Source organism: Homo sapiens, chromosome 16 (genome assembly GCF_000001405.40).
Source record: "Homo sapiens chromosome 16, GRCh38.p14 Primary Assembly".
Taxonomy (NCBI): Eukaryota; Metazoa; Chordata; class Mammalia; order Primates; family Hominidae; genus Homo; species Homo sapiens.
Window position 1 is genome coordinate 70,735,023 of NC_000016.10, and position 12,048 is coordinate 70,747,070.

At 57.4% G+C, this 12,048-nt stretch overlaps 1 protein-coding gene across 5 annotated transcripts in view, besides 7 other annotated features; it reads right to left on the minus strand.

The window, feature by feature from the left end:
• The window catches only part of VAC14 (VAC14 component of PIKFYVE complex), a 113,720-nt gene that overhangs the window by 47,584 nt on the left and 54,088 nt on the right, over positions 1-12,048 (minus strand). For all 5 annotated transcript variants that reach the window (NM_001351157.2, NM_018052.5, XM_005256038.5 and 2 more), the window contains one exon: positions 9,401-9,557. In NM_001351157.2, the coding sequence (NP_001338086.1) occupies positions 9,401-9,557 (157 nt within the window). The remainder of the gene's footprint in view (positions 1-9,400; positions 9,558-12,048) is intronic.
• Positions 2,799-2,958: an enhancer, noted in NCBI's record as "active region_11068". NCBI's record gives its function as "activates an Ori minimal core promoter by ATAC-STARR-seq in GM12878 lymphoblastoid cells {active_cell/tissue: GM12878}" and the evidence as "EXISTENCE:reporter gene assay evidence [ECO:0000049][PMID:35858748]".
• Positions 2,931-3,461: an enhancer, noted in NCBI's record as "H3K4me1 hESC enhancer chr16:70771856-70772386 (GRCh37/hg19 assembly coordinates)". NCBI's record gives its function as "activates a minimal SCP1, AML or CMV promoter by ChIP-STARR-seq in naive H9 embryonic stem cells {active_cell/tissue: H9 hESC(naive)}" and the evidence as "EXISTENCE:reporter gene assay evidence [ECO:0000049][PMID:30033119]".
• Positions 2,931-3,532: a biological region, named in NCBI's record as "H3K4me1 hESC enhancer GRCh37_chr16:70771856-70772386".
• Positions 3,363-3,532: an enhancer, noted in NCBI's record as "active region_11069". NCBI's record gives its function as "activates an Ori minimal core promoter by ATAC-STARR-seq in GM12878 lymphoblastoid cells {active_cell/tissue: GM12878}" and the evidence as "EXISTENCE:reporter gene assay evidence [ECO:0000049][PMID:35858748]".
• Positions 5,285-6,092: an enhancer, noted in NCBI's record as "H3K4me1 hESC enhancer chr16:70774210-70775017 (GRCh37/hg19 assembly coordinates)". NCBI's record gives its function as "activates a minimal SCP1, AML or CMV promoter by ChIP-STARR-seq in naive and primed H9 embryonic stem cells {active_cell/tissue: H9 hESC(naive and primed)}" and the evidence as "EXISTENCE:reporter gene assay evidence [ECO:0000049][PMID:30033119]".
• Positions 11,045-11,545: an enhancer, noted in NCBI's record as "H3K4me1 hESC enhancer chr16:70779970-70780470 (GRCh37/hg19 assembly coordinates)". NCBI's record gives its function as "activates a minimal SCP1, AML or CMV promoter by ChIP-STARR-seq in primed H9 embryonic stem cells {active_cell/tissue: H9 hESC(primed)}" and the evidence as "EXISTENCE:reporter gene assay evidence [ECO:0000049][PMID:30033119]".
• Positions 11,546-12,046: an enhancer, noted in NCBI's record as "H3K4me1 hESC enhancer chr16:70780471-70780971 (GRCh37/hg19 assembly coordinates)". NCBI's record gives its function as "activates a minimal SCP1, AML or CMV promoter by ChIP-STARR-seq in primed H9 embryonic stem cells {active_cell/tissue: H9 hESC(primed)}" and the evidence as "EXISTENCE:reporter gene assay evidence [ECO:0000049][PMID:30033119]".

Genomic DNA, 12,048 nt, shown 5'->3' on the forward strand with positions numbered 1-12,048 from the left:
GGTGCCTTGCTATGCAGGAGGGCAGAAGATGGCATAAAGACGGAAACCCAGGTCCTGCCAAGCTGAGACTGAGGATGCAGGAAATGACGCTGTGAAGAGCTATGGAGCCAGCACCTGGCCGCAGCTCTCTGGAAACCCAGGGAGGACACTGGGGGATGCAGAGCGGCCAACAGAGGCATCTGGGACCATCATTTTCCAGGCTGGCCCCTTTCTGGTCCAGAAGTTGCGTGGGAGCCATCACTTTCTCCCTGGACCAGTGAGGAAATGGCCAGGCACAAGCACAAGATAGGCAGGATGTGGAGGATCTGGGAACCAAACTTGGCCAGAAGCATCAGATGTTCCCAGAAGCATCAGCCCAAAGCACAAAACAAGAATGTGCAGAACCATCCAGAGTATTCCAAGTGAATCTCACGGAGGCGTCTGGACAGACTGACTGTATTTGATGCCAGCGGGCAGGAAGCAGCAGCAAGACTCTCCTCCCAGGAGCTCCGTCTTTCTTGCTGAGCTCAGACTTCCTGTATGTCCTCTCATGGTCCTGCCGGGGAGATGGCTGGGTCTAGAAAAGGCGTTTTTCTGTGCTGTTTTTCCCAGCTGTGAATCACTCTATAAGGGATTCCTTACCAAGAGCCACACCTCCAAACTGTAGCATCCTCAATCCCAAGAACCTCCTAGACAGCTCGCGTGAGCGGCATGAAGGAGCCCTGAGTGAGAAGGCCAGTTCAAGGAAAGGCCTCATTCCACTTCTTGTTTGGACTGCATTGTGCTGGGTCCCTGCCTGAATCAGCCTGGCTTGGGAGGTCCTGAGTGACTCTGGAATGGCAAAGAGTCTCTGCTCCCTGGCCCAAAGGGGCTGTTTGCAGAATCAAGTGTCACATTCTTATAGATCGAGTTACCCCAGGCCCAGCTGGGGGCTGATCTCTAAAGAGGTGGCTGCAGAGACAGCTGTTGAGACAGCCCTGCCTCACTGTTCCCTCCCTCAGGAGATGAATTTGGTAGGCCGTGGTGGCCTGGCTGGAGGGCACTGGCTTCATGCTGCCCACACTGGAGGCACCCTGTTCACTGCAAGCTTCTCCCAGGTGCTTGTTTGGAGTGGGGAGAGGTGCGGGGCCGTTCCAGCCTCACAGGGGCAGTAGGAAGCACTGAGCATGGTGTTTAAGCCTCAGTTTCCTCATCTGTAAAGTGAGTGCAGTAAGAGCCCCTATTAAATGAGATAAAAACATGTAATGTGCCGGGTCCGGAGCCTGCCGCACAGTCTGCACTCAGTACACGGGGGCTCCTTTTTATTAGCAAGCGTCCCATAGCGCAGAGCACTGCGCAGGGCAGACCGTTCTCATTCTGAGTCTCAGAATGGATGTCTGGGGGCTGGTCTGAAATGTCTGAGTGGGGAGATTTCATTTCTGGCACAAATTCACAGTGCTCTATCAGGATGCTCTGAGGAAGAAGGGGGGCCACCTGTGACCCCCACACATCTGGGGAGGGAGATCAGCCCATCTCTCCGCTGACAGTCTGGCTAAAGATGGCAGAAGAGAAGGGCTGGGCTGCTCTGGACACAACTCTGAACTCCTTAGCCACAGCCCCTAGTGTGGACCCAAAATGGACTCTCAATGTCCAGGCTGCCCCTTGGACCCTGGAGCTGAGGCCCTTAGTGGAAGGGAGGAGGAGGGCAGTGTCACAGCTGCGAGAAGCCGCAGCAAGCGATTCACATCCTCAGCTGAGTGCAGCTCAGCCCTCACAGTGCTCCCAAGGCTTAAAGACTTTCTGCCCTCCCCAAGACAGGGTTGGGAGCCTTGGGAGGGGCTGCATTGAGACCACAGGTTTGAGCAGGGCAGTCTTTTCCCAGCAGGGGAGGTGGGGAAAGGGGCCACACTTGAAGGGGCAGGGAGGGCGGGCTGGACAGGGATGGGAAAGGCCTCAGTGCTCAGCAGGACAGGGTGGGGGCTGCTCGCTCTTTCCCAGCCTCAGTGGCCCCCATCGCCCCCAGCCACTCTGTTGATCTGAGCTGCCCTTTGGCTTGAGATGCTCTCTGAGGCAGGGCTGCAGGCTCAGGAGGAGGAGATGGGTGGAGAGAGAACAAGCTCACCCCGGGAGGGTGACTACAGGAGAAATGGGCCCCTCAAGTATGCTGATTTCCGCCTCACTGCTGCCTGCTCTTCCGCCCACCTCCGGCTCTGGCTCATCTGCTCTTGTAAGCAGGGTCCTGGGCTGGGTGCTGCAGGCGCATGAGGAAAGTGGGAGCCGGGACGGGGCAGCTCAGGGCACGCCCTCCAACACTGCGCTCCGAGGACCTCAGCGGTTTTACTCAGGGGTGCCACTGAGGCACAGCCCCCTGTAGATGGTGGGCAGCTGCTGCAGCAGGGGGCGAGGGAGAGGGGGGCCCACAACCCGGCTGTGTGTCTCGGGAGACAGGCTCTCTTTGAGGGGCCCAGGAGAGTGGGATTTCCATTCCCCAATCCTGCAGAGGGCAGGAGCATGAGGGAGAGTGCCATCCCTCAGCTGAAGGCCACTGTGCCTTGTATTTCTGGTTTGGGCAAGTGAGGAGCCTGCCAGCCCCTGGCAGGAAGTGCACGTGACCGGCGGCTGGCCAGGGGCACAGAGACGCACTCCACACAGAAACCCAGGCTGGCGGGGTGGGCGGCCGGGGAGCCAGCCCTGCAGATGTTACTAAGTGAAACCTGATGTGGTGACATGAGAATCCACAGAACGTCTCACAAACAACCTGCCCCGGGATGTTTTGGATTGAGTTTTGTGGTTATGACGTGAAGAAACCTCACATGTCAGGATAAAAATAACCCTGGCTTCAGTACATAACGCGAGTTACAGTTCAACAGAACCAGATGTGAAAACGTCAGCCACCCAGTTCAGGCCCAGCAGGGTCCCTGCTCCACTCCGGCCTCCCTCCCTGCTGGGGTTGGGGTCCATGTGCCCGGACAGCCCGTTGTGGGCTCAAGATCTGCTGCCTGGAGGATACAAGGGAAGGGCCAGAGGCCGCTCAGGGGAGGCAGCACCACCTTCTCCGAGGCCAGCTCCTCTTCTGTGAACCAGGCAGGGCTAAAGAGCATCAAGTCGTGCTTGGCACAGGAAGTGGTCCACAGAAGGGGTGGGTGATGGAGAGGCTGGTATGGAACCAAGAGGACAGGGTGGGGAAGGGGCAGTTTCCCCCAAGAATCAAGTGGCTGGGAGAAAGGGAGGCTGAGCAGGGTCTTGGGGGTGTAGAGTCTGCAGAACTGGAGGGGGTGCACAGCTACGTAGACAAAGGCCGCCGCAATGGCACCAACTCGGGAACCCACTCAAGGGGCAATCACTTTCTCATCTGTGGGCCGGCCTGGGTCGGCAGGACAGGAGCGCCGGAGGCATCAATCATAGCCAGGAGACTTTGCAGCTGCTCAGGTCAGAGCGAGAGAGAAGCCGATGGGATGCAGCAGGGCCCAGTGGGGACTTCCAGCTGACGCGGCAGTGGAGAGGTCATATAGCAGTCTGCCACCGGGAAAGAGCTATTGCTGCAGGGTGAGGGCTGGGGCCAAAGGCAGCGAGGAGAGGGTGTGGAGGAAGGCACCCCCTGCTGGTGGAGCAGGGGGGCTGGACTGCTGGGGCTTCCAACTGGACAAGGGAGGGCCTGGCAGCACGGGTATGAGAGGATGCCATTCTGGGCAGCAGTGCCGGGGGCCTCAGGCTCAGGTGATTGGTGCCCCTGCCTTCCATTATTTTAATAAACTTTCAAAAATAGGTACTGACCCTTACTGGGCACCTGGTGCCAGGGATTCCGGGGTAAGTAAACTTGGCCTGTGTGGCCTGCCATGACGCTATTCAAACTGAGCTGATGACACAAATCACCCAGCACTGGGCGACGCTGAGGAGCCTCCGCATGCACTTCCAGCTGGGGGTCTAAGAGGTCACAGCCAGGAGGGAACAGATGTGAACTTCACCACCCACCCAGGCAGCCTGAGATAAGCAAGTGTGTTGGAACAGAGGGGCAGGAGAAGCTGGGATCTCCAGGGAAGCCTCCCACAGGGGCCCTCTGCACCGGCCTGTAATAACTAGGACACAAGCAAAGGCCCCCTTCACATGCAGGGAGCATTTAGCCTAGCCCTTGCCATGTGGGAGCTCACAGAGCCCCCAGGCACCCCAGCACCTGGTTTATAGAGAGGGAAGAAGTAGCAGTGAGGTAGGACCCTTGTCCGAGGTCACGGGATGGATGGGCAAAGCAGGGCTGTGAATCTAGATCCCTCTGACCCCAGTGCTCGTGATCCCTACTGCTGCTTCCTGAGGCTGGGAGGGGTGAGTGGGAGGAAGGGGCTTCAAGAGAAACAGGTGCTTTCCTGGGGCTGGTGTGGCTGGAGGAAGTGGTGGCGGGCAGCAAATGACAAGAAATGAGGCATTGCCGTGGCCTGAGGCCAGGAAGGGGTCTCTGAAGTCACTGTGAAGAGAGGAGAGATGCCCCCATCACTGCCAGGTTGTGCCCATGGCCTGGCCCCTCTCCTCCTCCCCTCTGGCTGTGGAAGCTTCCAGTGCTGGCGCAGGTGGGATTCCTGAGTGGGGTGAGGAGTGTGGGCTCTCGGGCCAGGCTCCTGGCCCAAACAAGTGGGGAATGACACAGTGCTGGCCTCTCAGAGCTGCTGTGAGGACCCCAGGGGCTCACCCAAAAAGCCAGCACGCGTGAGTGCTCAGAGCAGGGCAGGGCCTAACGTGACCTCAGCCAGTGCTGGCAGCCATGATGATTGTTGCCGTGATTACTGGGGAAAATGGCTTTCTGGCTTTCTGCTAGAACTTGTTTCTGTCTGGTGACATGAAGATGCTGCTGACATTTGGCTACAATACACTGTCCTGGGCTACAAGGAATGAAACCAAATAAGAACAGGTCATTATCACCCATTTTTAGAGCCAGGGATAAAAACACCTTGGACCACTGAGCCCCGCAAGGTATACTGACATGAACAGTTTTTTTGTTTTATTTTTTTTGAGATGTAGTCTCGCTCTGTTGCCCAGGCTAGTGTGCAGTGGTGTGATCTCGGCTCTCTGCAACCTCCACCTGCTGGGTTCAAGCGATTCTCCTGCCTCAGCCTGCCGAGTAGCTGGGATTACAGGCACGCACCACTACGCCCAGCTAAATTTTGTATTTTCAGTAGAGACAGGGTTTCACCATGCTGGCCAGGCTGGTCTCAAACTCCTGACCTCAGGTGATCCATCTGCCTCAGCCTCCCAAAGTGCTGGGACTATAGGAGTGAGCCAACGTGGCTTACGACATGAACAGTTTTATCCCAGCAGCATTGGGCCCCGTGGCAGGCAAAGTCAGGGAAGACTGGGTTTTAGGGGCAAACGTCAGTCCTAGGGTGACCTTTGGCCTCAGACTGACACATTACTGTGCATGGCTAAGGATCCTAAAGGCTGATTGGGTCTCCCCAGGCCTGGCTGCACCCTCTCTGGCAGCATAGATGTCCAGGCCCCGGGAGGAAAGGCATGTCTCTGACAAAGGGCTCATCCCAGAGGCCTCCTCTGTCCTTTGAAGTTTTTTGCACAGGCTCAGGGTACGGCGGGCCCACAGGCCTGTCTGACATCCCTGTCCCCAGAGCCAGCAGGACCTCCGCAGACTCCCCTGAGTGGAGACAGGAAATACAAAAGGAGGAGACACAGGAGATCCCAGGGGTGGGAGACAGGAAAGTGTGGTGTCCCTCAGCCAGCTTCCCTCACAGCTGCCCGCCCAGGCTGCTCCCCATCCTGTTTGCCCCCAGGCCACTCTCTCCCCGATTCTGCGGCTCTGCACAGGTGAGGAATGAGGGAGGCAGGGTGGGAGAAGCCTCTGCCTTCACCGCTCTGCGAGGGAGGGAGAGATGTTTATGCAAGGCCAGGCGAGAGGAAAATCCCATGTGGGCGACTCTGCCTCGGGGGGCCCTGGGAACCATGGCTGTGGTGCATTAGGCCAACACGGCAGCTACCCAGGCATGTGATGGACTCGCTTCTCCACTGCTGCGTGTGATCCGCACCATGTGGTTCCCTACAGATGCCACCGACTTCACCTTTGCTAGGCTCCCTGCCTCCGAGGCTTTCCAGACAGTCCCTTTGTGCCTTCGGGGCAATCTCCCCTACAGGGACACAGCACTGCTGCCTCCAAGTTCTCCAAGTTCTCAGGGCTGCGCCCTGGAGAGCCAGAGGCAGGCAGAATCCAAACAGGAAGAGGGTATGGCTTCACAGCCTTGTCCATGTGCATGGCCAGATGGAAACAGACAGAAAGAGCCCCTTGCATGCCTGAGAAGCAGTCTGGGAAGGAGCAGCTTGCGGAGGGATGAATGTGCACTTCCTGCATGCCTTCTGACCTCAGCACCACCCCACACATCCTCAGTGCCTGGCACGTGCCCTCCCGGGGCAGCGGAGGTGGGGGGGCGGGGAAGCAGGGCACACTCTGGCTCCCCTGGCTGTTCTCTTACTGGTTTAAGCTGACCTTTTAAAATCATGGCCCCATTTGTAAAATCTGATGCCAGCTGTGGACACGCGCATGTGCACACACATGGATCTGCTTGGAGCCTTGAGGCCCACACGTGAGTCTCAGGTTAAGAGCTCCTGGCCCAGAGAGTTGTGGATTCTCCTTCCGCAGCCCCCACTGCTCCTTGGCTGTGGATTCTTGAAGCAAGAAGTGTGACTGGCTGCAGGCACTTCCTTGGTGTTCTTTCCAGGATGGAGTTTCTTCCCATCTGGCATGCTTTGTCGTTCTTCTATGAATTCCGAGGGAGTCCCTGGCTGATGTGAGCTAATCTGACAGCCTCGGTGAGTTGGGGCAAGAGTCTCTACTGCCATAGCCTCGTTCATGGCCTGCCTATCTTGGCACGGCCAGGAGCTGGGGTTCAGGGTGCCCTGCCATATAGTGCCCCTGGCCCTGCCGCCCAAGCAGCGCAAAGGGCTTGATGCTGCAGGGCCCACCAGGGACCCCCGGGTCAGGTTCTGCTCCCCCATGGCACACGTCCTACTCCCTCCGGCCCAGGCTGCCCTCGGCAGTCTCCTGGTCCTCCTTCCATGAGCAGGAGCCTAAATCACAGTCATCAGCTTCTCTGTGCCCGGGAGGAAGAGATAAAACATAGGGAAGACAGGTCACAGAGGGCCTGGGAGGCCTGGGTGTCCTGGCCCTGTCACAAGGCTGTGCTGCCTTCAAGTTCTCTGCTGCTGCCACTTTGAGGAGGAGAGAAGAGGCTGTGGCGCCTGCTTCCTGGGGAGGGAGAGCCGAGGGTGCACCCCCAGGGACCCTTTGCCCAGGCCTCCTCCCTGCAGGATGCCTCCTCTTGGCTGCTGCCCGTCTTCCGGTCAGTTCTTGCTGCTCCTCCCCACCCGACCCTCCCTTCCTAAGGAAGAGATATCCTTTTCTCTCTTCCTTTCCTACCCCCTTTGCTGGGCCCCCACACTCCACCTCTGGCATTCCTGCCATCTGTCCCAAGGACTTAAGGTTGGCCCCCATGTACTGACTTGGGGACACAGGACGGAGAATGGACTCGTTTGCCGAGGGACAGAGGGTGGGAGTCCCAGCAGGGGTCCCAGGGTCAGGATGTGGGAACCACTTCCCCGACCACGGCCACTGACTGCCTAGAACTGGGCTCCTGGGCAAGGCCCCACATGGGCCTTCTATGACTTCACCTGGCATGTCCTGGGGCACAGGCAGCCCTGCAGGTCTCCGGCTGCCCCTTGAACTTCTCAGGCACTGGGCCTGGTCTTAGGGCCAAAAAGGGCTGGGGCGCCTCCCACTGAGGCCAAGGAAGTACTCTCAGGCTGGGACCAGCCCGGCTGGGCTGTGGCGGGAGGCTGAGGCTGTAAGGCCCCTAAACCTTTATGACACGTGAGGCTGCATCAAAGTGAGAGGTGAAGGCAGCTGGACTTCCTCGGTCTAGTGGGGACTTGGAGAACTTTTCTGTCTAGCTAGAGGATTGTAAACACACCAATCAGTGCTCTGTGTCTAGCTAAATGCACCAATCAGCACTCTGTAAAAACACTAGCTAAAGGACTGTAAATGCACCAATCAGCACTCTGTAAAAACGCACCAATCAGCACTGTGTGTCTAAAGGATTGTAAACGCACCAATCAGCACTCTGTAAAAACGCACCAATCAGGACTCTGTGTCTAGCTAAAGGATTGTAAACACACCAATCAGCACTCTGTAAAAACGCACCAATCAGCACTGTGTGTCTAAAGGATTGTAAACGCACCAATCAGCACTCTATAAAAATGCACCAATCAGCACTCTGCGTCTAGCTAAAGGATTGTAAACGTACCAATCAGTACTCTGTAAAATGGACTAATCAGCACTCTGCAAAATGGACCAATCAGCAGGACGTGAGCGGGACCAAAAAAGGGAATAAAAGCTGGCCACCCGAGCCAGCAGTGGCAACCCTCTCGGGTCCCCTTCCACGCTGTGGAAGCTTTGTTCTTTTGTTCTTCACAATAAATCTTGCTGCTGCTCACTCTTTGAGTCCGCACCACTTTAACAGCTGTAACACTTGCCGCAAAGGTCCGTGGCTTCATTCTTGAAGTCAGCAAGACCACGAACCCACCGGAAGGAAGAAACTCCGGACACATCTGAACATCTGAAGAACCAAACTCCGGACACACCATCTTTAAGAGCTGTAACAATCACTGTGAAGGTCCGTGGCTTCACTCTTGAAGTCAGCGAAACCAAGAACCCACCAGAAGGAATAAATTCCGGACACAAAAGCATGGGCCAACTAGGAGCCCTGTGTGGATGTCCAGAGGGGCGCAATGGACAGAGACCCCCATGGAGACACCTGAGATTCACTGGGAACTTTACTACCAAACGTGTCCTCAGGCATTTTCCAGGACTGCATTGCCAGAGGGAAGTGGCGTCTGCCGAGGCCTAGGGAGAAGAGCTGGCCTGCCATCTGGAAGGGACCGAGGGGCGAGTGCTGGGGGTGCTACGGCCACCTTTACTTCCAAGGACTGCCCAGAAACAGCCTGTGTGAATGATGCCGTCTCCTGCCTGGGCTGCCTGCCACGTGCAGTGCTATTTTTAGCTTCTCAGAGAGGAAGGGAATGGCCACCTAGTCTTCCACCTGTTAGACCCCAAGACCGAAGCCCCTGGATTCCAGACTGGAGAGATGCTGCCTAGGCAGAGAGACCAGCAGCCGACCCAGATGGTTTTATGTTTAGCCAATGGCTCAAAAGCATCAAAGGTGCAGGGAGATGCAGAGAAAGTCCTGTGAGGGTCTCTGGAGGCTGCTAGAGGACTAGGGCTGCCTGCCTCTGGGCGGTCTTGAGGTGGGAGATCGCCAGTAGCAACCCACAGACCCCTCACACCCTGGCAGAGCTCCAGAGCTCCTGAGCAACAACCCAAAGGACCGCCATGGTCCAGCCTAAGACCCGGCACTGGCACTAAGGCCCCTGAGGCTAGAACCTTCAGGAGAAGACTTACCAGAGGTGTTCAGTAGGCCGGCTCTGCCAGGGGTGGGCACCTGGAGCTCTGAGTGGCTGGCCTGGAGGTCAGGGCCATCGAGGGGGCCTGGGTCATCCGTCTGGCCTGCGGGGGAGGAAGCGATTTCTGCCAGCACCTCCAGGTCCTTCAGGATCACCTGGGGAGAGAAGCGGGGCAGGAGGGATGAGCTCTCCGCTGAGAGCTGTGCTGACCTGGGCAGAGGTGCGGTTGGTGGCACACAGCCACCTGCAGGGGTGGGAGGGGTCTGCAGATGACAGCAGGCTGGGAAGAGCCACTAAGGCCACAGCTGGGGCATGCTCAGAAAAGTGAAACAAAGTATCCAGAATGAAGGGAACACAGACTACAGTGAATGGGGCCTCTGGAGGAAGGAAACTGGAATCTGAGGTTCGGAGAGTCAGCTTCCCCACGATCCCTCTCTCGGGTCCCTTGAACAGGGCTCTGAGGGTCCCCAGGAGTCCCAGGACTCAGGAAGCAGGGCGTTATCTGCACAGTGTGCACTTCAAGGCCCGCAGGCTGCGCAAGGCTCCCAAAGTGCCCTCCAGACCATGTTCTATTGTGTGCGGTAGCCACGGCCCCACCCACCATTGGGCCACAGAACAGCTGCTTCTGCAGAGGTGACACCAGGCCACTGCAGACCCTAAAGCGTCCTCCACATTTGGCGTGCTACTCTGGTCTCCAAGGTAAAGGACTTCCTAATGTCCAGACATGTCAGGTGGTCCTCGGTGGCTCTAAAGTGTCCCTGCACAGATGTGGGTGGGGTGAGGCCCCAGCCTGACCACCTGCCTGCTGAGTTCTTCCGAGACAGAGGCAGAGTGGGGCGTGGGACCAGTGCTGAGTGTGAGCGCAGGTCAGCACTGTGTCACAATGTCCCCAGGGCTGCTCTACAGCCCCCGTATCCTTAGAAGCTGCCTCTCCTCGCACAGCACCCATCTTTGCCTGGCACCAAGAGCTGGCAGGGCGGCAAAGTCCAGCCTACCACTCTGCTGCAATGGGCAATAGGGAGAGGGGCCACGGACCTGCCCTGTTGGGAGGGGCTTCAGTGTGTGTGTGTGTGTGTGTGTGTGTGTGTGTGTGTGCGCGTGTGCGCGCGTGTGCCTGTGTGCATGCACCTGCCCCAGGGGCTGCTGAGGCTTCCTGGCCACCTTCTGCTGGCTGTGTTTATCCTGCAGGGAACTCCTCACACTGCAGGTGGTCGCCTGCTCTTTCTGCCCCTCACTCCTCTCTTGCTCTGGGCTAGGGACTATGCCTGTCCCCCCAAAAGGTGTATCTCCAGGACTGTCCCTGCGCCCAGCAGATGCCCAACAAACATCAGTTGACTGGGTGGTTGCCTGTGCCTCTTCCTGGGCTACTCTGAGCCCAGGCCAAGAATAACGACGGCAACCGGGGCTTCAGCCCTGGACCAGGGAAAGTGGGACAGAGCCTGATGGGCAGGGCCATGTGGGCCAGGACCGGCCAGGTGGCTGGAATATGGGAATACAAGATAAGGTTAGCACTGTAGGGCTCCTACTGAGGGATTAAAATGTTGTGGAATTAGATGGGGGTAATGGTTGCAAAAAGCTTGTGAGTATATTAAAAGCCAGTGAATTCTATGCTTCAAAAGGGCAAATTTTATCTAGAAAACAAACAAAAAAGATAAGGCCTACCCCCTCAAAAGCCATTCCTGTCAATGCAAACACAGTGCCAGTGCCTCCCCCACACTGCCCAATTGTCACTTCTCCTCCTGGTTCCTCTAGGCCAGCCCTGGCCGGGAACCCCTTTGCTTGCTCACCCATTCCCGCCCCCTCAGTCTTCAAACAGTGTCACGTGTTGGCACGCAATCTCCCAGCCTCATCCAGGCAGGAGCTGGCACTCGCTCACACAGACTCACTCTCACAGACTCCCCTCCTACTGTCCAATTCTGTCCTTCCCTTCATCCCTCTCCCACTCATGGAGACTGGGATGTCTGTGGGCCCCTGGGACCCTGCTCTGTGCCAGCGGCTGCGTTGGGTTCTGGGGCTGTAAAGGTGAGTCACAGCCACCCCTGCCCGTGGCCTGGCACACAGAGTGGAGAGCTGATGAATCCACGTGGCTGAGACACATGGCTGCCACACAGCCCAGTCATATGGCAGGAGCAAGGGGTGCCCCTCCACCCAGGCCAGGAGCCGGGGAGCCCTGGGTGGGTCTCAGCCTAGAAGTAGGGAGGGCCGAGGCCTCTGCTTCCACTGAGGACAGAGCCTCCAGGGATTCTTTGCTTCAGCCACAGAAGAAAGACACAGGGCGGAGGGCAGGATGGGGAAGTGGCACAGCAATGAATGACGCCGCGGTCCTGCCCGATTCAGCCCCTGCACACCTGCCACGGCAGGATGTACAAAGGCCATGCACACCAATGCTTGCTGGACTGTCCAAGCACGGCCAGGGAGGGGACTTGAGACCAGGAAATGGAGGTGGGGGGAGGATGGGGGAATGACTCATCCAAAATTAAACAGTGAGGCAAGAGTCAAGCCAACAGCTCCTCAAACAGTTACCCAGAGAGCTGCCATAGGTATACTCCCACTCCTAGGCAGTTACCAAGAGAACTGCAAACGTCTGTGCACATCAAACTTATATATAAATGCTCACAGCGGCATTTTTCCTAATAGCTACAAAAT